Here is a 26,038-nt window from a genome sequence, read left to right as displayed (position 1 = left end):
TGTGACAATGTATGAAATTTTTAACATTAATATGGCTAACAAGTCCTGTTCTTCCAATATACTTTCAGTTTTTAATCCTAGCATAGCTTTATTGGCATGAACTTGACCAACATAAATATCTAAAGGTTAAGTTTTCTTTGAGTTGTTCTCTATTTCTGTCATAGATATAAAAGATTCCAGTGCACTTATTCTAAACTAACTTTCCTCTGCTTTAACTTCATTGAAGTGGTCCCCAAATGTTTATTTTTATTTCATACTCCTATCAGTAAAAAGGTTACATATTTACATTTGACATTTAAAATCTTTAAGCATTCATTTATAAATTATAATGATAATTAACTGCACTAATATTATATTGATCATCCAAATATATAAAAACAGAAAAGTCAATAAAATAAACCCCAATAGAAGTTTCAATGTGTTCTTGCCCCGTCCCAATGGACTGATTGTCATACATAGCCATGGGGTGGGCTCATTACACTTTGTTGACCAATGCTCTGGTCAACAAACTGAGGTTTGCAAAAGGAGCAACTCAGTACACAATACCCCTTTTATTTCAATATAATTTCACATATATAAAAAAGGAAGGATTACGTCAGTTTTTTTTTTTTTTTTCGAGATGATGTCTTGCTCTGTCACCCAGGCTAGAGTGCAGTGGCATGATCTTTGCTCACTGCAACCTCTGCCTCCCAGGCTCAAGTGGTCCTCCTGCCTCAGCCTCCTGAGCGGCTGGGACTATAGGCATACACCACTGCACCAGGATAATTTTTATATTTTTTGTGGAGATGGGGTTTTGCCATGCCTCCCAGGCTGGTCTCAAACTCCTGGACTCAAGTGATCTGCCCACCTTGGCCTCCCAAAGTGCTGGGATTACAGGCTTTGAGCCACCATGTCGAGCCTCCAGGTTTGAAGAGATTTTAAGAGATCATCTAGGAAATCCCCTTATCACATCCACAACAGAGGAAAATTCAGTATAAGAAACCCATCTCTTCCCTTGAAGCACTCTTCCCATTGGATATCACTGTTAGAATATTCCTTATTATATTGATCTAAGTCCATTTGGTGATTAGAGGTTTGAGATATCTATAAAGAAAGAAATCTATTCATTCTTTTCCATGTTAGCCTTTCACATATTTGAAGAAATCTTTCTAAGGCTCTTCGCACTGATATTATCTCCAAGTTGCACATACTCACTGGCTTCGATTATCCTCAGTGAGGTGTAATGTATAAATCATAATTGGTCTCTCATCCTCTTTTATGAGCACCCTAGCTTGCGAATAACTATCTGAAAATGGGAAACCAAGTAATGCAAACAATACTCCAGATCGGGTCTTCCCACTCCTTTGAAATCAGAGGAGTAAAGCCTCCATTCATCAGTCATCTAGCTTATATAACTAAATAAGTAATTCTTCCTCAGAAATATATTTGTCTTAAGAACTTTTATTTTATTTTATATTTTTAACAACCCTGTGGATATATTAGTGATTTTTAAAGGCAAACATCAAATTCATTACATCATAATGTTGTGTTTTAAAAATCTGCTGTGGTATGTTATTAAAACAACATTGCCAGTAATAAAAATCAATGGGCCTAAAGTAAAATGGAAAAATAAATATGAATCCACTTGGGCCCTTCAGATAATGCACTTGGCTTTTCTTTCAATGAATATAGATAAGTGATTTCAGGTGGAGGGACCTAGAATAATCATGATAAAATTACTTTACAGATAGTGTGCTTGGGCTAAAAGGTTCCATTATTTTAACTGATTCTTTCTATTTCTGGTTTCATTGATGCATGTTTTAGTCATATTTTTTGCATTACTGCATAGCTGGGTTAAATAGTCCTTATGCATTATTACTGACTTTTACATTATCTTCCCTAGGTAGCTTAAGCAATTTGGATTATATTTGTTTAAATTTTTAAACTCTATAGAGGTGAGAAAATAGTGGAGTTCAAATTTTTAAAAAAAGGAAAAGAAAACTATTCCTTGAGTGGAAATGTAGTTATTTGGGTCAAAATTAAATTAAAATTATGCTTGGTAAAAGAAATGTTCAATTATCTAACAATCTCAGGTTCAAATATGAACAGTTAATTTATAACTTAGTATTTTCACTGTATTTAAATGCTTTTCCAATCTCAGAATCAATTAATATTCTTATCAGGATATGCAGAGTCTATTAAATGGAAGTATCTTTTCTTTCAATTTCTATTGTTAAGAATATATTTTTGATACAAAAATCACCATCTGTACAAAATTGAGAGTTAAAATTATAACTGTAGGCTTACATTATTAATAAAAAACAGTATTATTATGGCAGTGTTGATTTGGATTATTAATGTTCAGAATAATACTTTTAATTATAAATACTTGAATATCAAAAATTTATCATACATGCACATATAAGAAGGGAGTTTTCAGATTAAAATAAGCAAAACTTTAAGAATGGTAAATTGCTAACAGAAGACATATGTAAATATAGATACATGTACACATACATTCTAAGGTTTTCTATTGGACAGAAGATGAAACAGAAAAACAATTGTCTTGAATTTATTCTGTTAATATTTGGTAGTCTTCCAAATAGTTGGTTTGATGGATCATAAAAACTAAATGTCACATTTTGAGAAATGTGATAATGGGGATAAACACGAAAGGATGAAAACAATACTGACTTTGCAGTTAATATTGGAAAATATCTTTGTTTTGTCCCATTTCAAGATGCGTATTTTCTCTTCAGTTATAAGGAAATTTATATTTAGCTTTGCAAGCTAAAGCTTCATTCTGGAGATGAGTATTTAGTGACTGCATCCATTGAAAGTCAAATTTATGCAATTAAAATTACTTCATTCTTTGGCTGTCCTGGACAAAAAATAAACCAAATAAAACAGCCTAACCGAAAAGTCACAGCTGTATGGTCAATGTGGCTGATAGGAACAATTTATAGTCCAAATCTAATTAGCATTTCTTGATATGAGCTACAGCTCCACCCCTTTGGTCATATAAGTATTCCAAACCATCACGACTATGCCAACAGTTATTTCAGTTACATTATACTAAATGCCTTCAACAAAACTTTATAATGACTCAAAACTTTGAAATTTGACATGTGGGTGTGTGTGTGAATGTATATGTTTGTATGTGTGTGTGTGTATGTGTGTGTATGCACGTAAAATTGTCTTCAAACTGAAGGATTAATTACAAGAAGGTCTAAATGTGGATGTTATTGTCCTAGCCTCAGATACTTAATCTTCCTCAGCACTAATTGTATGCATCCTTTGCCTGACCTAAAAGATAGCCTGTTGACCTTTCAATCTGTAGGTTTGTCACTTACCTCTATTTTGTGTTGTGTGTAGGAATACTGCATGGTTCTCCACTGCTTCTACTTATTAACAGTGTTGGCTGGTTACATTTGAAAGGTATCCTGAGCTCAGGCTGGTGCATGTTTTTGCCCCTGTGGATGCCTGTCCATTCCTATTTAGATATTGCTTTATGTCTCCAATAGTTCTTTCCCCAAATGCAGCCATTACAGGAACATAAAAATATTGATGTCAGATTAAGGTCTATTTTAGGAAAAAAAAATTAAAACACACCTTAGGTAGATAACTACATTATATACAGATTACCATTAAAATACATTGAAATATTTTTCATATTAAAACTAGGTCGCTTATCTGACTTCCTATGAGAATCTTAGTAGGCTTAACCTAAATGTGAAAATATTCATTAAGAGAATTCTCTATATGTTTGTGTGGCTGCCTTTGAAATTTATGGAGCATAGTCATTAAGGTAACATTATGTATATATTTTCACTTACTTATGATGTTATTTAATTAACAATTCCTTGTCCCTTAAAAGTGGTTTCGTACATAGAAGGAGAAGGCTTGACCAGGCATGAGTTTAGGCATAAGCTATCAATTATCTTTATGAGGCCAATTATCAGAGCAGGTAGGAACAGGAACTGATAATTTAAATTCTAATCATGAATTCTATTCACTATACATAGGCAGAATTAGCTGACATTTAACAAAAATAACCTCAGGTTAGAATCTATGCTTAGAAGCTCCATTCCTGTTCCCAGAATTCATGTTTCCTTAAGTGTAGGCTGCCAGAAAAGACTAAATGGTTCATAATGCACTAAAAAATCCCAATACAGGAAATGTGTAGCTTTCTATTCATTAAGGTTAGTGTCTCTTGACCCTATCCTGTGGAAGTATAACCAAAGTTCACAACAGGCTCATAGGGAGATTGGATTTATTAGCTAGCCAGACAATGGACAGCAGTGTCTCTCTGTTAGCCAGTCCCCTGAATATGGATTGTAGAGGCTAGAGATAGGGCAAGAAGCAGGAAGCTGCTTCCAAATTAAGGAAAAGCATTTATTGTTTGATTATTGAAGGGAATTGACAAGTCTCTCTTGGTCTTGGTCACAATTTCAATGCAAATTCATTTGAGTAGTCTTAAATTAGTAAAGTTCTCAGTAATGTCTGATGGCAAGTTGTTTAAACATCAAGTAGGCTGAGGGTCATGCCACGATAAAATCCCTTATGTGCACATAGAAGATAATGAGCAGAGATTTCCTTAATCAATAGTAATCATAGAATTAAAGGAGATTCATCCCATGAGTGTCCTTAGAGATAATTTATTCCAATGCTTCATTTTACAGGTAAAGAAACTGAAACCCAAGATAATAAGTAATATGCATAGCGCCATTTAGTTGACAAACAGCAGAGCCTGAACTCAGACCACATGTTATGTTAAGTCCAATGTATGCAGCATTGCAGGGGAAACTGAAAATACATCCATGCTCTAGAGAAACTGGAGACACCATACTTAAGGGATACATACTGTATCCCTTCACACATCATACGATGGAATTTACTCTAGTGCAAAGGGCAACCTAATGACTTGAAGGAGTGACAGCACTTCACAGAGAAAGGTGAAGACAGAGGGCCATCGTGTTAATATGTGCCACAGGGTGAGGAGTGGAGAGAATGAGTTTCAGTTGCACCTCCACAAACTCACCAGCATTTAAAAACTTTCAGTCCTGGAGAAGCTTCCACGGTTACTATGCCCTGCAGAGATGGGATGCAATTATGCAGAAGTCAGGCTAAAATGATTACAGGATAGCAGAATGCTTGAAATAGCTGAAGTCAATTAAGATTCTATGACCTGTTCTTGTATCATCTCTCTGCTAAGAAAGTGCCGTTCAATCACTGTATTTTACATCTTCTGCATAATGAAAGCACCTGCAACTGCATAAGGCCTGATTTAACTTCCAAGCAGAGTATTCCTTTGTTGTGACCGAAATTTTATTTCCTATAATAGGTCATTTCCTCCTAGTTTCATCATAGCCAACCTCCTGGATTAATTACAAGAATAACTGGTTAAGGCATTTCCATCCTTCTTTCATGAAAACATCAAACAAAACTTAAATATATTTTAACCTTAAAAATTTATTTTTATTCAGTTAGCATTCAACAAATATTATTTAGTGGCTACTGACTACCAGGCACTAGCATTTCAGAAGCCCTGAAGGAGCTTAAGGTCTGGTGGGCAGGATATATATGCTAGTAAACATCATAATATTACAACGGGGGCATTCTCAGCAGAGTTCTATGCAAACACTGATGAATAGTTACCCAAAAGGAAATACGTCAAACATGAGTGATTATGTGGTCAAAGAGGAAGGGCATTGTAGAGAGAATGGAAATGACAAGAGGTTTAATGTGTAGAAGAAGCTGAATAAGATTTGGAAAGTGGCAGTAGAAAAAAGCCATCCAGGGTATCTCAACCTTGGCACTACTGACATGCTGGACTTAATTATTCGTTGTTGTTGGGGCTGTCCTGTGCATTGTAGGATGTATAGCAGCATCCGTGCTGTTCACCCACTAGATACATGCTCCCACCACCATCATCATAATGTGTTAATAAAAATGTCTCCAGACCTTGTGAAATGTCCCCTTGTGGACAGAATCTTTCCTGGTTGGAAAGTCACTGGAAAATTGGTGTAAGTTAGATAAACAAGAGCTGTATATACCTACAAAGGAGTTTGGATATTATCACATACATAGTAATGAGATGCCACGTTTCATAGAGACCCCATTTCCCATAGAATACAAGCATATATATCATCTGATGTTTTATATAATTTTATATAACTTGTATATTTTTGTCAGGTGTGACGGCTGATGCCTGTAATTCCAGCACTTTGGGAGGACAAGGTGGCAGGATTGCTCCAGGTCAAAAGTTCAAGACCAGCCTGGGCAATGTGGCAAAACCCCGTCTCTATCAAAAATACAAAAATTAGCCAGGTGTGGTAGCACATGGCTGTGGTTTTAGCTACTCTGGAAGCTGAGGTGGGAGGATCACTTGAGCCCAGGAATTCGAGGCTGTGGTGAGCTGAGATCACGTCACTGCACTCCAGCCTGGGCAACAGAGCAAGACCCTGTCTCAAACAAACAAACAAACAAACAAAAAACTTATATATTTTGCAATTATAAAGTTTTGTGGAGAGAGGCTTGAGCTTTACCCATTTCAAAGTGGTTCTAAATTCCTAAACTAGCATGACCAATAGAAATATTTCAAATGTTTCTTGTATATGTGACACTCTTATAGAAGCAATATGGAGGAACAAAAGCAATAATGTAGTGTTTGCTTTCAACATAATGAGAGTAAAATAATAAACAGGATGTTGGTCTTGCCATGCCTTGGTGAACAGGACTCCTGGCAGAGTAAGACAGCCAACAAGACCAATGTTCTGCCGTTGTTCTGCAAATAAGTAAAGAATTACATTGCACAGGGATTCCCGCTCCCCCATTTTGAAGGCACACAAATTGAATGAAAATGACTTTGTTTATTTTGATTTTGATGAACTTTACAAAACAAATATGTACTATATATACATAGAATTAGCCAGATGAATGAACCACTGGCAATCTCACGTATGTTTTTAGCAAAGGCAGTGAAGAGGTCACATAGCATCCTTAATGACATGCCAAGCCTGGGCAGCAGTGTCTGTTTTTTTTTTTTGTTTTGTTTCGTTTTCATTTTTGTTTTTTTCTTTTTTCCTCTCTTTTCCCTTTTAATGTCCCAACACTTGGCAGTAATACATGGTTTTCAGTCAACGCTTCCTTCAGCATTTATTATATCATTGTTGCCATGACAAAAGATTATAGGTGTTAATCACAAACAAAGTGTTGTTACATGACATTTTGAAACCTGATCCAACAGTGGCATGATAACTGTGAGGAAAAAAAATTGATCACATTTTCAATAATAAAACAGTGTGAAGTCTTATTGATTATTTTGAATTTTTTTTGTCTTCCAGAGGAAATCAAATATTAAATGACCTGAGAAATAAAATGTACAATAAAATGCAATTTAGACAACAATACAAAATTTCAACCCTTAACAAATACAGGGATGTTTAAAGTTTTTATTTCATAAAGTGATATAATAATAAAAAGTATTTTTCAAATTAATTTTTATGATAAAAGTAATATAGGGACAACATAAAACCTCAAATAGCAAAGAAGAGCAAAAACCAAAAAGTGAATGATATACTTTTCCTCCACCTTCTAATCCTTTCCTTAGGAAGTATTAACAATTTTTTGTGTATCTTTTCAGAAAGTTTTATTTGCACAGAAGATACCATTCTACATAGAGTTGCTCTATACTTTCCTTTTTTACTTAAAGACTTTTTAAACTTAAAGACATCCTTGCAGAGGTTTCGTTATTAAAACTCATATATCCACTGTATTCTTTCTAATGACCTCGTAGTCTGCATTTTGAGGTATGTATTCCATTGCATGCATGTATTATTTGTTTTTTTTAACAATTCCTTTTGATGAAGAGTTGCAGATTTTCCATTTTTTTGCTTCCAAATAATTGTATATTCTAAATTCTGTACATACATCCTTCAGCAATATTTAAAAGCATTCATGAGATTCATTCCTAATAAGAAATTTCTTAAAATTCAATTTCTTAAATTTCAAAAAAGCTCCTTGAATCAGACATTTCTCTCAATGAGAAATTACTTCTTTTTTGTAATTTTTGTGTTTGGAATTCTATAGGGACATAAAAAAAGATCAGGAGATAGAAATTCATGTTCTTATATTTAATATGCTCTAACATGTTACATAATATAAAATGTCACACAGAATAAAAGCCTAATTCAAGAATATATTTAATACTAGAAAAGTTTTGTAGTTGAGAATATGTAAAATTGAACAAAAGTAAACACATTGACTTAATGAATGATTTAACAGTATATATAATACGGTTACTCCTATTTCTCTAAAATGTTGTTATATGCGTGTCTTATGTTTAAAGGCATATTGAAAGCAACAACCATTACGGTACAACCATCCCAGTTAGGAATTTAAAATGGTTTTGAGCTACTCAAGCTAGTTAAACATGAGTCTGGATAAAATATGTAGAATCAAATCTGTGTGCCATACATTCATTCAGTCAAAACTATTTACATAATTTATACTATGTGCCAGATACTAATAAACATTTTTTTGAAGTTGTAAGGGTCCTAAGAATCTATTTTTATAAGATAGAATTTGAGATTTTCTATCAATTTTCTAATCCAAATTCTAGTACATTCCATAATTCATTAATGTATTCACCTTTATTCTATATCAACTATCGAATCAATAATTTATCAACAATAACTTTTATTCCTACTGCATGCCAGGTGCTATGGTAGATGATGTAAATACAAAATCCTCCCTTTATTTCATGAAGCTTGCAGCTTAGTCAGTAAAATAAATATTACTTAAATATTCATGCAAATGATTATAAAACCAAAACTCTGCTATATACTAAAAAGGAGAGTTACAGGTCATATAAGAGTATATGAAGTGGGAATTCATATAGTCAGGAATGTCTCTCAGATATACGAGATTGAAAGGATAGATAAGAGTTAAGAACACAAAGAAGAAAATGAACAGCATTTTGGAGAAGAAACAGTGTCTGCAAAGATCTTGTAAGGGAAGTGCTCACAGCTATGATCATTTACCTAGTCATGACTGTATAGTGGAATGGATATACTTTATAGTTACAAATTTATGACACGTTTCCTGATGTGTGGGGTAAGAACTACTGTAATGAGGAAGTCCAAATATTAGACCCTGTCAAGACAGTAAAATCAGTATCTCACCCTGTAAGGAATAGCAGAGATTAAAGCCACCCTTATAATGGTCCTATGCTACCCCCTATAATTTGCAGGTTTGGGTCATACTAAGGCCAGATAGAATGTTGGTCAATGACAGTAAACTACTGAAGACTCAAACAAACAAGTGTTATCTCTAATTGCAACCATTATACCAGACATGGCATCTTTGCTAGAGCAGATTAGTACTGCCTCTGGATGTCATATGCGATCAGAAACAGTAAATATTTATTGCCTTACTCCAATATACTGTTAATTATTTTTTCTTATGTCAAAATATAGTCTGAAGGGAACTGATTGTCTGGACACCTTGGAGAATATCATCTTTGTTCACTATATTGATGGAACCATATCAATAACATCCCGCTAATTGAAACAGAAGAGCAAAAGTAGCAAATGAATTGGAGGCTTGAGAAGACACATGTGGGAGGATAGGAGAAAAACCCAATAAAAATTGAGGAGCCCCACACATGAGTGAAGCGTGTAGGGGTCTAATGGTCTCTGACATCATGAAACACTTCCTTAAAGTAAAAAGCAAATTATTGCATCTTGCAACTGTCATTACCAAGAAAAGCAAACAATACCTTATAGGCTACACAATCTTCTGAGCATAGCAAGTTCCATACTTGAGAATACTGCTCAAACTCATTTACCGCATGACATGAAGGGCTGTCAGCTTTGAGCAGAGTCTAAAACAGAACTAGGCTGTGGTATAAGTGGCCCTGCTCCTTGGGACAAACAACCCAGAAAATATTATGATGCCAGAAACATCTTTGATGAGCAAGCCTAATGGTAGTTTATGTAAAATCCAAAAAGAAGAATCATAACATAGACTGTATGATCCTGGAGCAAAACCATACTATCTGCAAGACCATGCCAACATAGAGCTTCTGGCATGCTACTGGGATTTGGAAAAGATGAAGTGACTGAACATAGGGTAGAGGTCACTATGTCAGAACTACCCATTATAATCTAGTGTCTATCAGAACTACTGCATCATAATTCAGGTGTACCCAGTAACAATCTAATGTAACACAGAAATGGTATTTCAGGGATTGGGCATAAGCCAGACCAGGGGTTCCAAATAAGATGCAGGAGCCGGTGTCTTAGATCCCCATGCCATCCACCATTATTGCAATTCATATGGCTCTCAATTCATATGGCTGAATGGGAGGGAGGTCCTTTATAACTAGCTGGCAGAAGAAGAAAACGTTCAAGCTTGGGCCATGCATCAATCAGCTTACTACATGGACATAAGAAAAAGAAAAAAGGGCATTGATGACTTTACAGCTCTGCTGAAGGGTGACTGGAAAATTTAGTGGGGAGGTGCAATTCTCCAATGGTTAACATATCTTCAATTCTCCAATGGTTATCATGTCATGCATCTGGTTGTCCACTTTGTTTGGAAATAAAAGTGGCCTTAGGTAGAACTTAGACTGACTCACAGACAGTGGCAAAGGGCTTAGCTGGTTGATTATGGATCTGGAAGGGGAAGAGTTGAATGATGAGGGATAAGGAGGTCTGGATTGGTGGCATGTTAATGACTATATGAGAATAGGCACTATATTTAAAATCTTCATATTGATCTAACATGCACAAGAAGCACCTGCCAACACGACAGAAGACTCAGCATCAGCCCAAGTGCTAGTCTTATGTGTATGTAAATGTACATGGGCCCATTTACAAAAATTATCTAGTTACTGCCCTCATCAACTATTCAACCTGCTAGAATAGAAAATACTTAGCACCCAATATAGCACTATCCCTTGAAGGAACATGCCACAGATATGGTGGAAAGTTGACTATATTAAACCCCTTCCACCTAGAAGGGGTAGTAATTCTATGTTTTGTTTATTTATCGCTGCACAGAAAACCATCTCTAGTGGCTTAAAATGACAACACTTGCTTTGCTCATAAATCAGCAACACTTCTCTGCTTCACTGCACATAAGCCAGAGCAGCTCAAAGGCTGGGGAATAGAATCATCTGAAAGTGTACTTGCTCAATCACATGGCTGGAAATAGATACTGGCTCTCAGCTGGAACTTCAGCTGAGTCTGTGGGTAAACTCCTCCATGTGGACCTTTTCAGAGCATAGTGGTGGACTCTAAAGACATGTGTCCCAAATGCAAGGTAGAGCCAGGCGAGAACTGGATCACCTTTTCTAATCTGGCTTTGTAAGTCACGTAACTTCACTCCTGCCAGTGTCACTAAAAGCAGATGACTAAAGCTATACCATATTCAAGAGAAAGTATATTAAAGTCCACTTTTTGGTGAAGGACTGTTAAGGAATTTTTGGATACATTTTAAACTACCACATTTCTCTTGATTGGAATTAATATATATCATGGTATGGATTATTCTTTTCTGCCTGCAGAAACTCTGCAGAACTAGAGTCTAGAGATTTACAGTGTTTGATCCATTGACACAGGATTCTGCATAAAGCCATATTATAAAAACTGACTTATCTTAGAGAAAAGAGGGGTAGAAGTGTGTGAATCATGAGATTCACGGCTCTATCATATACTGACCATTCATAAGCTTCCAGCTTTATACATAGTGAAGAAATTGCCTGTTTAAGACACAATTATCCAAGTGTGATCTTAGGTGATACCCAGAAAGGATGACAATGTACAGGTGAAATCAATTACTAGTATATGGCACTGTGTGTCCATGCTAGGTAGAATATATGTGTCTAGAAACTATGGAGTCAAAGTAGGAATGGACCTACTTACAATCATTCCTAGAGAACCACTTGGAGGAATTTCTGCTTCCTGTCTCCATAATTCTAGGCTGTACAGATTTACATGTCTTGATTCTGAGAGAGAACATACTTCTACCAAGGGACAAAGAAGTGTCCCGTTATATCTCAAAATCTAGGTTTTGCCCAGTAACTTAGGACTTCTCATTCTAAGAGACTACGAAGCAAAGAGAGAAGTCTGCATCCTGGAAGGGCTAAATGATATTGATCATTAGAAGGTGAAACTGATACTACACAGTGGATCAAGGAATCATATTCTTAGTTTGGAAACTAGGTGATCCACTTGGACATTTCTTGGTACTCACTTGCCCAATTTTAATGGTAAGTAGAAAAGTGCAGCAGGCATGGCCCTAGAAAGGGATGGTAACAAGAGGATCAGACTTCTCAGGTATGAGGATCTGAGCCACCTCATCTGGCAAGTTACCTAGACTTTCAGAAGTACTAATGTAGGGTGAAGGAAATTCAGGACTAATGGTGAAAGTATAAGTTATGGTCTTGAGACCAGCTGCAGCAAAAGGAGCTTAAGTCTATCCCATTAAACTTTTTCTTGCAACTTATGCCCAGGTAAAAGAGGACCAGTAGAATCTTGGAGCAGCTCTTCTATAACTTACTATATAAAGCAGGAAGTGGACTATAGCGGATACTGTGGTGTGTCACCTAGATTCATCAGTCCTACCTCAGGACTGAGCACTCATTCTCCAGCTGCTTGCTTTGCTAGAAATTGACTCAAGGTCATGTCTGCTCTCTATGGGCAGGCAGCTCACATTTGATGATTGGTTAATGCAGAAATATAAATGTCTAGACTTCTTGTCCAATTCAAGATACTGAAGAAGGGCCATCCCAGCCTGAGTCCTTTGTAGAATCATCTCAGACATAGTTCTCTACCCAAATTTGCTTTTTAGGATCACCCTCAGGTGTTAATCCTGAGAGTGTGCTCCAGTAAATTTCCTGCATAGAAATCTTCAGAGCAGGCTTCCTGGAGACCCCTATCTGAGATGAGTCGAGAGAGGAAGGAGATAGACAAGGAGATGAAGTGCGGGGACCAGAAGAAATATCATATTTTCTCATCATGTATATGGCCCACATTCCTTTTTCACATTTTTATATCTCTAAAGTTGAAATGCAGTTTATAATTCATGTGATAAACAAGGCTTGTGTTACTGTTTTATTGGCAATATTTTTTGTTGTAGTATATACATTAATGACTTATTTTACATCCAAAACACAGATCTGATTAAAAAAAAAACGGAAACAAATACAAAACAAAACAAGCAGGAAGAGGTTAGAATTCGGATTTTCTAGACATTAAAATAATTTTAAAGGCCTAATACAGACCCTAAGGATAGTGGGAAAGTATTTAAGAGGAAAAGCCTGACATCATACGATTTGCTTCTGAAAAGACCACTGAGTCTAGTGTACGAAGAAATAAGGATAAGAGATGTAACCTCATGAGCAGGCCCCGTGTAGTCGTCCACCCAAAACAGATGAGAGTGTTTCATGGAGATAAAAAAAAAAAACAACAAGTGGATAGATTGAGAGATTTGAGAGATATTTAGCAGGTGAAATCTGTAGTACTTAGTTTTAGGATGAACATAGGGAGTAAAAAGTGACTCTGGTTTTTAAATCAGCAACCAGGTGATTGGTGGTATCATTCATGAGCTAGAAAACACAGAATGAAAACCAAGCTAGGTTTCTTTAGAGCGGAAGCGTAATGCGAAAATCGGGAGTTGTTTGTTTCACACTTTAACTTTGGAGATGCCATTAGCTATTGAGAAGAGCTGTCGAGTAAAATGTTATATATGTGATTCTAGGATCTGAAGAAGTGTATGCCTGAGATACAGTTTTGGGAACCACTTGAATAGATTAATAAGCGGTAATTGAAGCTCCATATATGGATGAGATCACATTGGATAGTGTGAATAAAGGAAGGCCTAGGAGCAAGCCTTTATTAACTCCACGATTTAGCAGCTGGGTCGTAAAAATACACTTATAAAAGGATACACTGGAGAAACATTTACAGAGGAAAAACAGATGGCTGTTGTGTCCCAGAAGACAAGGAAAGAAAATGTTTCAAGAAAGAGGGTGTGAGAATTGGTGTTGAATGATGCTGATACAGCAAGTAAGACAGACTGAAAAAATGTTATTTAGTTAGTGACAGGGAGGCCATTGGTAATATCATCAAGAGCTGTTTGCTGGAAAGGGAAGGCTGCACGCTGCATGAGAGCAGGCTAAGCAGTGAGAACATATGAGGAAATGGCCACAGATTCAGCTGCAAAAAGTGGAACAGAGAGGATGACAAGTGAAAGGTAGTAAGCCCTGAGTTTTTGTTTTGTTCATAATGATTTCTCTTCTTTCTTTTCTGTATCTATCTCTATCTCTCAGAAGGAAGCACAGTTAAGAGTCAACAGAAAAAACTGAGTTTAAGTTAGAGGTTGAATAAACAAAACACAAAAGGAATAATTGATAACATAAGTAAGGATCCTGAATTACCCAGAGTGACTTCTTATCTTCCACATGGCAGAAGATAGCAATGCATTCAAATAGCCTGTCCCCTCTTTTCTAAAACTGAGTGGGTGTAGTGTTTATAAGGTGAAGTGTTTGGAAAAAAAACATTATAGAAGCAGAAATAAGTTAAAATTAAATTCTGGGGATTTTTAGACAATTATTGCAGCTTGACGCTGATTATCAAGCTAAATTTTGGTTTTCTTTCTCAGATTACAAATTATGTCAAATTTTCCAATAATGATGAAAACAATGACAAGCTATGTGTTGAGAAAGCCATTTCTGTAAAATTTTCACTCACTGGATAATCATATGTGAAGCCCAGGTCTAAATGCACTCATTTAATATGATGCCAATGGGCTTTCTTGCTATATCCACATGCCTCTGTATTTCCAGATATAAGGAGCTGCCAGTTAAAATTGTACAAATAATAACTATTGAGAAAATCAGAACTTACCATCAGACCGTTACCTGGGGTTAAGAAAAAAAAAAAAAAAAAAATCAATAGATCAGTACGTATTCCCTACAATTCAGCTACCGTATCCCATGCGTTGAGGAAATTATTATTCATTCTTCAAAACCCAAGTCAAGCATCATCCCACTAGACTACTTCCCTAACCTCACCTCCAACTCTATGCACAAAGCACATGCCTTACCTCATAGCACTTAACCTCATGAATGGCCAGTTTCTATTCTAAGTTTCTAGGATTAGACTGTGAGCTTTATGGGGAGGAACAGCTTCTGATTCAACTTTGCATATTCACAGAACCTAACTCTTGTTCCATATTGTTGAATGAGATAGGTAGAAAAGACAGAGACAGAAGAAAGAGAAGCAGGAGAGAAAGAGAAAGAATGGAAATCAGAAGGTGAGAAAGGAAGGAAGGAAGGGAAGTAAAAAAAGAGCAAAAGAAAGAATAAAATGAAATAATGTAGTATCACAGAACATAACGGCTTGTGATCAAATAATTGGCAAAAATAAAACTTGCAATTATTTACTTGGTCAAACTGACAAATGTTCTTAACTAAAAGGCAATGATTCATTAATTCCTCAAATATTTCTTGAGCACCTATTCTGTGCCAGGCATGGCGCCACTGGATGATATATTATAAACAAGAAAAAAATTCCCTGCCCTTTTGGATTTCATTTTCTAGGGTAAGTCATCTTAATACATTAGTTATACAGTATGATTTAAGTTGTTAAGTGTTATGGAAAAAAATACAGCAGAGCCACCTGGACTGACAGTGCAAGGGTGAGAGACTGAAATTTTAAAATAGGTAGTTAGGGTAAGAGTCACAAAAAAGACATTTGACTCAGAGTCATGCATATGTTCCAGAGGAAAGGCATTCGAAGGACAGAAACCAAAAGTGAAAAAGCTCTGAGACAGTGTGGGCCTGGAGTGTAGAAAGCCAGGGTGGCTAAAAGCAGAGCGAAGAGAGGTGATAAAGGTGATGGGGAGAGGAGGCAGCTCCAGCTCATGGAGAACCGTATAGTCATTGCAGACTTTTACTAGCAGAAGATGGAAGCCTCTTGATTGAGGGTGTTTAGCAGAGCAGTGACATGTTCTGGCTTAAACTTTCAAAGAACCTGCATTTAAAGGAACTGTTGCATTAGAATAGAAGCTGGGAACCAGTGAGAGGCCAGACAGGAGATCCTGGTGGCCTGGACCAGGTTGGCAGCAGTGGAGGTGAGAAAAGTGGTGGGATTCCGGGTGTACCCTGAGGACAGAGGCAAGGGGATTTGCTCTAGGATTGGAGTGGGCTGTGGGAGAGAGGCACCAAGAGAAATTTCAATTTCACTAAATTCCAGTTCTGGGATTAAAAGTTCTATTCAAATACGTTTCTATGTTCTCAAAGCATTCATATATGAATAAACACAAACTTGAAATTCTTTTTATTCTCACTTATTGATATTATGAATTAGATCAGTTCTTAAGTTCATGAATCAAAAACACGGTGTTTTATGATATTGTAATGATAGAAAAACAAGCATTTATAAATTCTGTGAGTGCTGCTTTAATTGGAAAAGTCCTCATTTCTGGTGTATCTTACTTCATGCTTAGAGGAAGGAGCTGAGAAAGGCATCTGAGCTAATATTAAGAGAAGAAACAATTGATACTACAGAGGGTCTTTTTTAGCTAGTTTTAATGAATAACATTTTGTCATCAAATGAAAGTATACAGACTACAAATGCATACAATACTCAGCATATCATTTCCATCAGTGTACCAAATAGAAGCCTTTAAGGCAGATAATACGTTAGCTGATAAAGCAGAAAGACAAAGATACGTGGATTAAAACTTAAAACCTGCTGGTTTACTGTCTATCATTTAATTCTCTATATTGGGGTTAGCTTAACTTTAAAAAGTAATAAAGTGAATATTTCGTCCGTAGAGCACTTGACATTGGGGATTCTGAATTTAAACGTTATAAAGAAACTACTTATATTTAATCTGGTATTTTTATTTTAGAATTTGTATTTCTGAAGAATAGATTTCCAAGAACCCAATAATACTGTGTCTGTTTGGACTATAGAATGTTAGTTAGGCTTTGGGACTTTTTAATATAAAGGATTAGGTAAGCCTAAGAAAGAAGCATTTGAGAAAAATATAACACTTTGTTATTATTTTGATCTCAGTGGCATAAGTTGTATACTCACATGAAGTTCAGAAAAACTATCCAGCAAAGACTTCCTCTAAGTCTGTTTCCTCAGTGGTAAGTCTCCTAATACGAACACGAGCTCTGGAGCCAAACCTCTTGGGGTCAAATCCTGGCTCAGTCACTTACTAGCTGTGAGACTGTGGGAAGTGCATTTAAAGTCTCTGTGATTCTGTTTGCAGGTGTACAGTAAAGGGATTAATAAAAATACAGCATCATAGGATTGTTGTGAGAATCGAAAGATTTAATACATATACAGCATTTAGAACTATAGCAAACAAAAAACACACATTTAACATTAGCTATGATGGTTGCGGAGAATACTCATCAACCGTAATTTTCCTTTCTTGTTTTTTATGGAAACTTATGAGTGTATCTGACTTCCTGGGGCCAGAAATAGAGCTTTGAAGTCTTCTGCTCCATACAACTTAATGATGTACCAAGACCTCTACAGTCTTGCCTCTGACTTTCCTTGATTTCTCAAACATTCTAGCTATTTCTTGTCTGGGAACGCACCTTCTCAAGATGTTTGCATGCCATATTCCTTCTAGTTATCCAGATTTCAGCTTAAAAGTCATTGCCTCAGAAAAATGTCTTTGACTTCAAACTAAAATCAATAACCACTCTCTTTTAGCTCACTCTGATTAGTTCTCTCAAAATATTTGTGATTTTCTGAAACTCTTCATGATAATTATTTTTATTTCTGTTCTCTTGATTAATAAGTAACTCTATTCAAGAATGATGGCTGCATATAATATTTACTGAATAAATATTTGTTGAATGAGTAAAATAATAAGTTAAAACTCAAAATTTGTATTGTCTTAGCTTCAAATTCTCTGACCATCTTTTGCATACTTAACTCTATAAGCCATCTCACTGACCCACTACGTGACCCTACAAGGCATGGCTTGGGCAGCCTCAAAACTTATACTGCTATTAAGGAAAGATCTCACAGTGCCAGAAAGACTGGTAGCCAGCAACTGGCATCATACTCATATAAAAGAAACATTTTTGCTCAATATTTCACTAGACTGAACATTTAGACAATTTCTTAAGAGAAGTGAAAGTTTCATAATGCAATGAAGCAATCTGCCTATGTAGTGGCAGTAGAAAGACAAACAAAATATCTAGCAGTTCAAAAATATCTTCCTTATTAAATGGCCCAGATTTCCCACATGTTCACCAAATACCTACTGTTGTCTTTTGGAACTAACATTCCAAAGATTACAAAAGATTACACTTGAGAAATGATGAAATAGATACGGTGCATTCGAAATCATCTACAGATGATTTTGAATACAACATAAATACTAAATACTAAACTTCCCACAAGAGATTTTAGAAATACATTTCCCTAGCTCAAAAAAGCAAATGTTAAGTGTGTCTTTTTTAAAAAATAACCTGACCCATATGAAATGTACTGATGTGTGTCCCCTGCAAAGCCCCTTCCCACTGAAAACAAATGTCCCAAATAAAAGAGACATATAATATTTTAGAATTTACAGTTATGTTTTTCTACTTCAGAGTAAATCAGCAAGAGCAATTGCTAGGCCTATGCTGAGTCCAAACCCACCTCTCCACCTTTTGTTTTCCTGGAGAACACAGCAAATGCCATAGATCAAAGTCTGTTTTCTCTGAGCACATAGGGGGCTGGAAGGCTATACGCTCACTGCCACTGCATCAGATGGATAATGACAGATGTAATGTCTATAGCATCTCAGTAGATGAGGGATTTTTTTCGCTTTATCCTATGAGAATGGAGGACAGTGAATTAGTGCACTGCATGCACAGACTGCCAAGAGGAATATACCACCAGCCGGAGCAGCAAAAACAAACAATCCCAAATGCTTTTGTGGTTTACAAGTGGTCATTTTTCAAAGAGGTGCACGTGGATAGAAAGGAGAGGCTCCTGGCGAATGGAAGAAAACTAATGCTGTTTCACAACATTTCTGGGAAGACACTTCCATCAAATATTCATGGTAGCCTCTTGTCTATATGAGCCTGGTTGATAGAATAATAGTGCCGATTCACCTGGCACCAAATCTCAGCCCCCTTCCCATTCCCCAGCTAGTAAATCTTGGCTGTCAGTGATAGGAGCTGATGGGAAATGATAGCCTTATTGAGCTGCCTCATGAACTGTAACTCATTTGTTCTCAAGACCCAGACTGACAGCCCTTGCATTTCTCCCTTCCAGAAAAATTGAGCATAAATCACTTTATCATTTTTCCACATGACAGTTTATCAGAATTCTGGAATTCTATATGAAGTCATAGGGGCTGGTGACAGAAAATGAGACAAGTTCTATCCTGTAGCTGGGGAGGACTGCCCCTCCAAGGGCAGCAATGCCACCATAAAAATACCAATGAGATTCAACTAAATACAAATTCTCCCCCGTTTGAAAGACACAGCATTAGCTTTCTTTTCTCTAGAGTTTTCTTCATGAGAAAGAGGGGAAGAGTGAAGTTATGGAATACAATTATGCCCTTTTTCTAACAAGCAAGTGGAAAAAGTGGCCCAGTCCAATTCAGTGCTTCCACCGCCTAATTTCAGTGCCTGTGTCTTCTGAGAGTGAATGGTCAGAATGGCGAGGGCTGATATTGAGGCCATACCAGGTTTTCTCCAAAGTCGATTAAACTAACTTACCATAACCTGCCAGTTTGCCTTCCTTTCTTCAAAACATAGTTTACACGTGCACATACTGTGTTTCCCAACTAGGGATACAAAGACAGCTAGATGCCCTGACTGTTTAGAGGATCACAACTTCATGGATGTGTCGGGGGGAGCCAAGCAGGCCAGTTCACAAGGAAGATGGTTCCTATAGTGTGCTTGGGGTATATTAGTGCTTTGGAGACACAGAGGAGGAAGTGGTTGACTGTGGGGGAAGAAGCAGTCTGGAGAGACCTCTTAAGAGAGGTGACTGTGAAGCCAAATCTGGGAAGCTGATTCAGGGTTTCCACCAAGTAGACCAATGATCCTTGTTGGTGGCCATAGAGGCTGGAGATCTAGTCAGTTTATTTCATCCTCATTTTAATCTAAACATAAATCTTTCTCTATATGGTGGTTCACTCAAACTTTATAATTTTATTTTATTTATTTATTTGTTTAGATTTTTGAGTCAGGTCTTGCTCTGCTGCCCAGGCTGGAGTGCAGTGACACAATCACGGTTCACTGTAGCCTCTACCTTCCAGGCTCAAGTGATCCTCCCTCCTCAGCCTCCTGAGAAGCTGTGACTTATAGGCGCACACCACTATGACTGGCTAAAGCTTTATAATTTTAAATAGAGCTCTCTAAAAGCACTTAGTACTACCTAAGATTTAACATGCATACATTTGTACACTGAGGATCTATAAAAGCACACAACTGAACCTAGTTATGGAACAGAAAACACTGCACATGTGGCTTGACAATAACATATCAAGCCCATGTTGCCTGCCTGTGAGGGGCATTACAGATTAAACTGTCTTTCACTGCTTATAGTACTGTCATCAACTTTTAAACTTTGAAATTCCCTGACTTTCTGACCCAGAAAAAGGGGCCACCTGACCATTGCATGGTTGATTCTGAAGCATGGCAGTAAATGCAGCGCTTCCATGTACAAGGCATGTACACAATTGTGACACTTACAATATCTCCTTTTTGAAATTTGCTATTCTCACAGATCCCTATTCAAATTAAGAAGGGAGTTTAACAAAGTTTGTGTATTTCTAAAAGCCAAACAATGGCTTTTATTTCCCTTGTTTCCCAAAGTCTTCTTTCTGAACAACGATTCTGGCCTTTACAGATATATTTCAGTATCTGAAATATGTGAAATAACTATTTTTTCCTCTTTGTTTTTTGTTGTTGTTGCTGTTAGTGGTGGTGGAAATATCTCTTTACATAAGGATTTATGGAGTTTCCTATGTGTTATGTACAGATATTTAGATATATGAACACAATTATATATGTGTGTGTGTGTTACAAACACTTAGAAAATGTCAAAATTTAGATGTGAATCTCTGAGATGGCAGTATCTCCCATTTGCTGTTCTAATTAATTAAATCATTGGTTTAAATCAATACCTATAGGTCATATATTTTCCATAGATGTTATATCATCCCAAGGAGGAAAAATTGGCTCTTGAGGGGGTTAAAATATCTTATTTTATATGTATAAAGCACAGATATACATATAGCATATAATATATCTGTGGTTTCAACTATCATGGGAAAGGAAATTCTCACGGGACAATAATAGAAAACAAAAGATTAAGAACACTGGCATCAGACATTTGTAATGGTATCAATGGTGGTAATTATTTTAAAATACGTTTTGAATAATCTTGGTGACTGCTTTGGCTTTCATGGTTTTGTTTTGATTTGCAGTGGAGTGATAGTAGTTTCAGTCATTTTTCTGAAGAGAGTGGAAAATAAGGCATAAATAGAAAGTCTACATGTGGGAATCTGGCCAGAGATATTGCAACGAGTAAATAGAGAAGAGGGACCAAGAAAAATCAGTTATTCCATCAAACAAGCCCCTGGATGCAAAACAGTTGGCAGTTTCTGTTTCCCAAGCAACCTTTGCCTGTTACAGAGTGTCAGAATGGGCATCGCAATCCCACTGCAATCATATGCATTTTGTAAAATCTCTCTAGGAATTAGTCTCTCTAAAAATAGGCAATGAAGAAGTTATCTCATTCTAACTTATTGCCATTTTCACTCAATAAAGTTCCATTTACATGTCTATGGAGGTCATGCATATTAGCAAGACATGAGCAGTTCTAAAAGCATGTCTGAATCATGCTGAAAATTCCTGACACCCAAGTAACTGAAAGCTTGTAAGGAAGTGTGTGCATGTGTGTATGTGCGCGCGCGTGTGTGCACGTGTTGCTCTGTGTTAGAAAATGTATATGATGGTTTTAAAAGGTCCACCCATTGAGAGGTGGAGTATATGTCACCTCCTCTTGAACCTGAGAGTCTTTGTAACTGTTCTCAAGGAATACACGTGGTGGAAATAATACTGCATGATTACTGAAGCCAAGCAGGAAATACATTTCCACCATTTTTTTTTTTTGAAATATACATCTTCGTAGCTCTGAGCTACCATGCAAGAATACTATCTGAAGCTACCATGTTGGAGAAACCACATGGAGATACTGTAAAGAGATGGAAGGAGATACTGGATTGTTTCAGCCCCTGGCTATTTGCATCTTATGAGCCCAGTTACCAGACATGTGAGTGAGTGTGCCTTAGAAGACTGCAGGCCAAACCGTCCTCTGATAGCAACTACATGAAGGACTCAAGTGAGAACTCCCAAGCTGAACCCAGTCAACCTCCATAAGAGATAACAGTAAAATGATTGTTGTTATTGTAAATCACTAAATTTTGGAATTTGGGGATAGCTTGCTATACAGCAACATATGATAGGAACATGTGCTCATATGCACAAAGTGAGAATGATTCCATTATGACCACATATTTCTAGAGAAACTTTTCAAAATAACTTGAGCTATTTTCTCAAATATCATAGCATGAAAGAGGACTTTATTTTTTTAGTTGACAGAAAAATTCTCTATATTGTAAATTTCCTCAAGGAATTATTCCAGTAATTCATTTTCCTTAAAAATAATTGCACTTGGCAATTTACATTACATATTTGATCTCTTGGGTTGTTGCAGAATTTTGAAATATTTGTCTTTATTGCACAGCTCTTTCCTTTGAAATCTTTCTCATATTTTTCCCCTTGACTTTTTTATTGCCTCATTTCATCTACCTAAATTTAATGTCTCTTTATTCATCTTATTTTGATCATGTTATTTCAGCTCTGTCCCCGATGCTAATTCTTTCTAGCATCTTGCACTTTTTTAAGTACATTCAACTGATCACCCTGCCAGACTCCCCAGCAATTCAGGATAGGCCCAGGGACGTGAAAAGACCTGGCAGCAAGGGGAGCAGTAGCTGCTAGAGACCAGCACAGTAAACCAGTGTCTGTGTCACCAGTGCCAGCACCAACACAATAAAGTCCCCTGAAGTACTGCACCTGTTTACTGCCTCTTGAAGCCCCAGGGTTTCATTTCTTCATTTATTTATTCAGTCCTTCATTCCACAAGCCTATGAAAAACACCAACTACAAAGCCAAATACAGTCTTAGCACCAATGATACAAAGAAAATTAAAATATGACCCCAGTCTTGGAAAGATTCCATCTGGAGAGAGCCAACCACACTGATGTTGATAGAACTGAGTGGCTAGCCACAACAGAAGTATGCACAAAGTGCCATGGGAACACAGAGGAGAGACTTCTCACATCAGCCTAGGGAGGTTGAAGAAGTTATCTCAGCCAATGCAGCAATGGAACTAATAAATAAATAATGGAAATTCAAAAAGAAAAAATATGGGCCAGGCGCAGTGGCTCACGCCAGTAATCCCAGGCCTTTGGGAGGCTGAGGCAGGTGAATCATATGAGGTCAGGAGTTCAAGACCAGCCTGACCAAAACAGTGAAACCTCGTCTCTACTAAAAATAGAAAAAAAAAAAAAAATTAGCCAGGAGTGGTGGTGGGCACCCGTGATCCCAGCTACTCCAGAGGCTGAGGCAGGAGAACTGCTTGAACCCAACAGGCAGAGGTTGCAGTGAGCAGAGATCCCACCATTGCACTCCAGCCTGGGTAACGAGTGAAATTCTATCTCAAAACATAAAAAAAAGAGTAAAAGTATGAGTTCACATGCATGAGAACAAATGGATATCAACATTCATATTCAGAAAACAGAAAGTAGCTAGTTCTGCTGGAACTGCAGATACAGCCATGTCCCGTGAGAACAAGAAAGCAAGGGGCTGGGTGATTTAAAACCCTGCTATGCATATTCTTTACCCCTCTTATACACACCCCACATCAGCACACGGGCACACACATGCATACTTAGAGATGCACATACCTTTAGTCTTGAAGTGTCAGTGTTCAAATTAATTTGGTAATATCAGAGAATCAAGTTACAAAATCCTGTATTTAATCTTGGAAAAGACATATCTCCTTCTTGCTATCTTTTCCAGAGAAAAGATATTGTCCCTAGCCTTAAATATTTCCTCAGGTTCTCTGAGAATAGCTTCTGAATGATTAACTCACCCTACACTTATGAAGGATTTCCTAATATTTTGCTTCTGTTTTTTCCTGCTGTAGCTTTTACTTAGGCTGCCCTCACTGACAAATGAGAATCATCAACTTCTAACTTATTTATAACATCCCTTTATATATTTGCAGGAGAGCTCAGGGAGCAATTCAAACAGAAATGCAGCTGCTTTCAGTTCCACTAAATAAAAAACCAAGTATACTTAGTTTGGTCTCTCAGATATGGCATCTCAGCCCAGAGATATTGTTAACAAAGTGTCGTATATAGTATGGAAGAATCCTAGTTATTTCCAGCAATCTGGGGTTGGGGTGAAACATGTCTCCAGCTCTTCGGTGGTATTTTCTATTTTGTAAGAAGTACTCATTCCATGAAAAGCTATGTTTAAAAACTCAGTTTATGGTACTTAGGAGATGGAAGGAGTGAAAGGAATTCCAGAATGAAAGATTTTTAAAAACAACAAAATTTCTGAGTAGTGACTAGCAATTGAAAACCTGCTGGATCTATTTTTTTAGTTATTCATGGAGATATAGAGGAGATATTCTGCTGAGCTAAAGAGCACTATAGTGACATAGAACCCAGACCAAAAGGAAATGAGCAAATATGGAAAATGTCTTTGGAAGTGTTAGAAAAATCTGTCTTTGACATTCCATTTTCTTGAAGTAAAACTTAAGTAATACTTAATTTTAAGTATTTTATTTTAAATAATTTTTAAAATAAATTGTTAGATTGCCAACATGTAGCTGTGCCAAATACAAAGATTTTGTAGCCCCGAACGACCTATTTCCGTGGTTTCGTGACACTGAAAGAAGAAATAGACTTCCATCACATCAGGGAAATATGTGGTCTATAAGACCAGTGAGGAACCTGCTGCCTCTTCCTATATATTAAGCGTAGCTAATAACTAATTCTTAGATCGTATTTCAGGCACCTCTAAGGGGTTTACAGAGATTAACTCATTTAATACTAAAGCAAGATTAACAAGCTATGTAGTTGATACTATTCTTTATCCAAATTATTCAAGAAAACAGGGACACATAGATTCAATGATTTGCTGAAAAGTCCTGGTTAAGTGGCATAAGAGAATGAGATTCTCCTGGAAGCTGTTTTACATTTTACAAAGAATTTACTGAGGTATAATTAACATATAATATTTCTTATATTTAAAGTATACCATTTAAGTTTGGGCTTATGCATACAAGTATGAAATCATCACCATAATCAAGATGATGATTAGGATGATGGTGATTATTTTGGGATTTATCCATGTTGTATATATCAGTAGTTCTTTCTTTACATTGCTGAATATCATTGAATGGTATGGATACATCACAATTTATCTGTTCATTTGTTGATGAACATTTGGTCATTTTTCATATTTGGCTATTACAAATAAACTGTTATGAACATTCATGTACAATTTATTATATTGTCATACACTTTTATTTTCTCTTGGGCAAATACCTAGGAGTAGAACATCCAAGATATGTGTTATAACATAAGTGCATATTTAACTTTTAAAGAAATGAATTGCTTTCCAAAATGGTTGTAATATTTTATAATCTCACCAGAGTGTATGTGTATTAGTCCATTTCCAGGCTCCTGATAAAGACATGCCTGAGACTGGGCAATTTATACAAGAAAGAGGTTTAATGGACTCACAGTTCTACATGGCTGGGGAGGCCTCATAATCATGGTGGAAGGTGAAAGGTACATCTCACATGGCAGCAGAGAAGAGAAGAGAGCTAGTTCAGGGAAACTCCCCTTTATAAAACCATCAGATCTCGTGAGACTTACTCACTATCATGAGAATGGCATGGGAAAGACCCACTGCCATGATTCAATTATC

General features: G+C 36.6%; 1 protein-coding gene across 9 annotated transcripts in view; it reads right to left on the bottom strand.

Moving 5' to 3' along the window:
* Positions 1-26,038, bottom strand: part of NKAIN2 (sodium/potassium transporting ATPase interacting 2) — a 1,021,776-nt gene that overhangs the window by 372,830 nt on the left and 622,908 nt on the right. The window contains exon 4 of one of the 9 annotated variants that reach the window (NM_001300738.2): positions 14,895-14,908. The exons of the other annotated variants lie outside the window; for them this stretch is intronic. Within the exon in view, the coding sequence (NP_001287667.1) occupies positions 14,895-14,897 (3 nt within the window). The 5' untranslated portion in view covers positions 14,898-14,908. The remainder of the gene's footprint in view (positions 1-14,894; positions 14,909-26,038) is intronic. 9 annotated transcript variants of the gene reach the window in all.

This window comes from Homo sapiens, chromosome 6 (assembly GCF_000001405.40).
Source record: "Homo sapiens chromosome 6, GRCh38.p14 Primary Assembly".
NCBI classification, from domain to species: domain Eukaryota; kingdom Metazoa; phylum Chordata; class Mammalia; order Primates; family Hominidae; genus Homo; species Homo sapiens.
The sequence above is the reverse complement of the archived record's forward strand: the minus strand, read 5'-3'. Positions and strand labels throughout refer to the sequence as shown.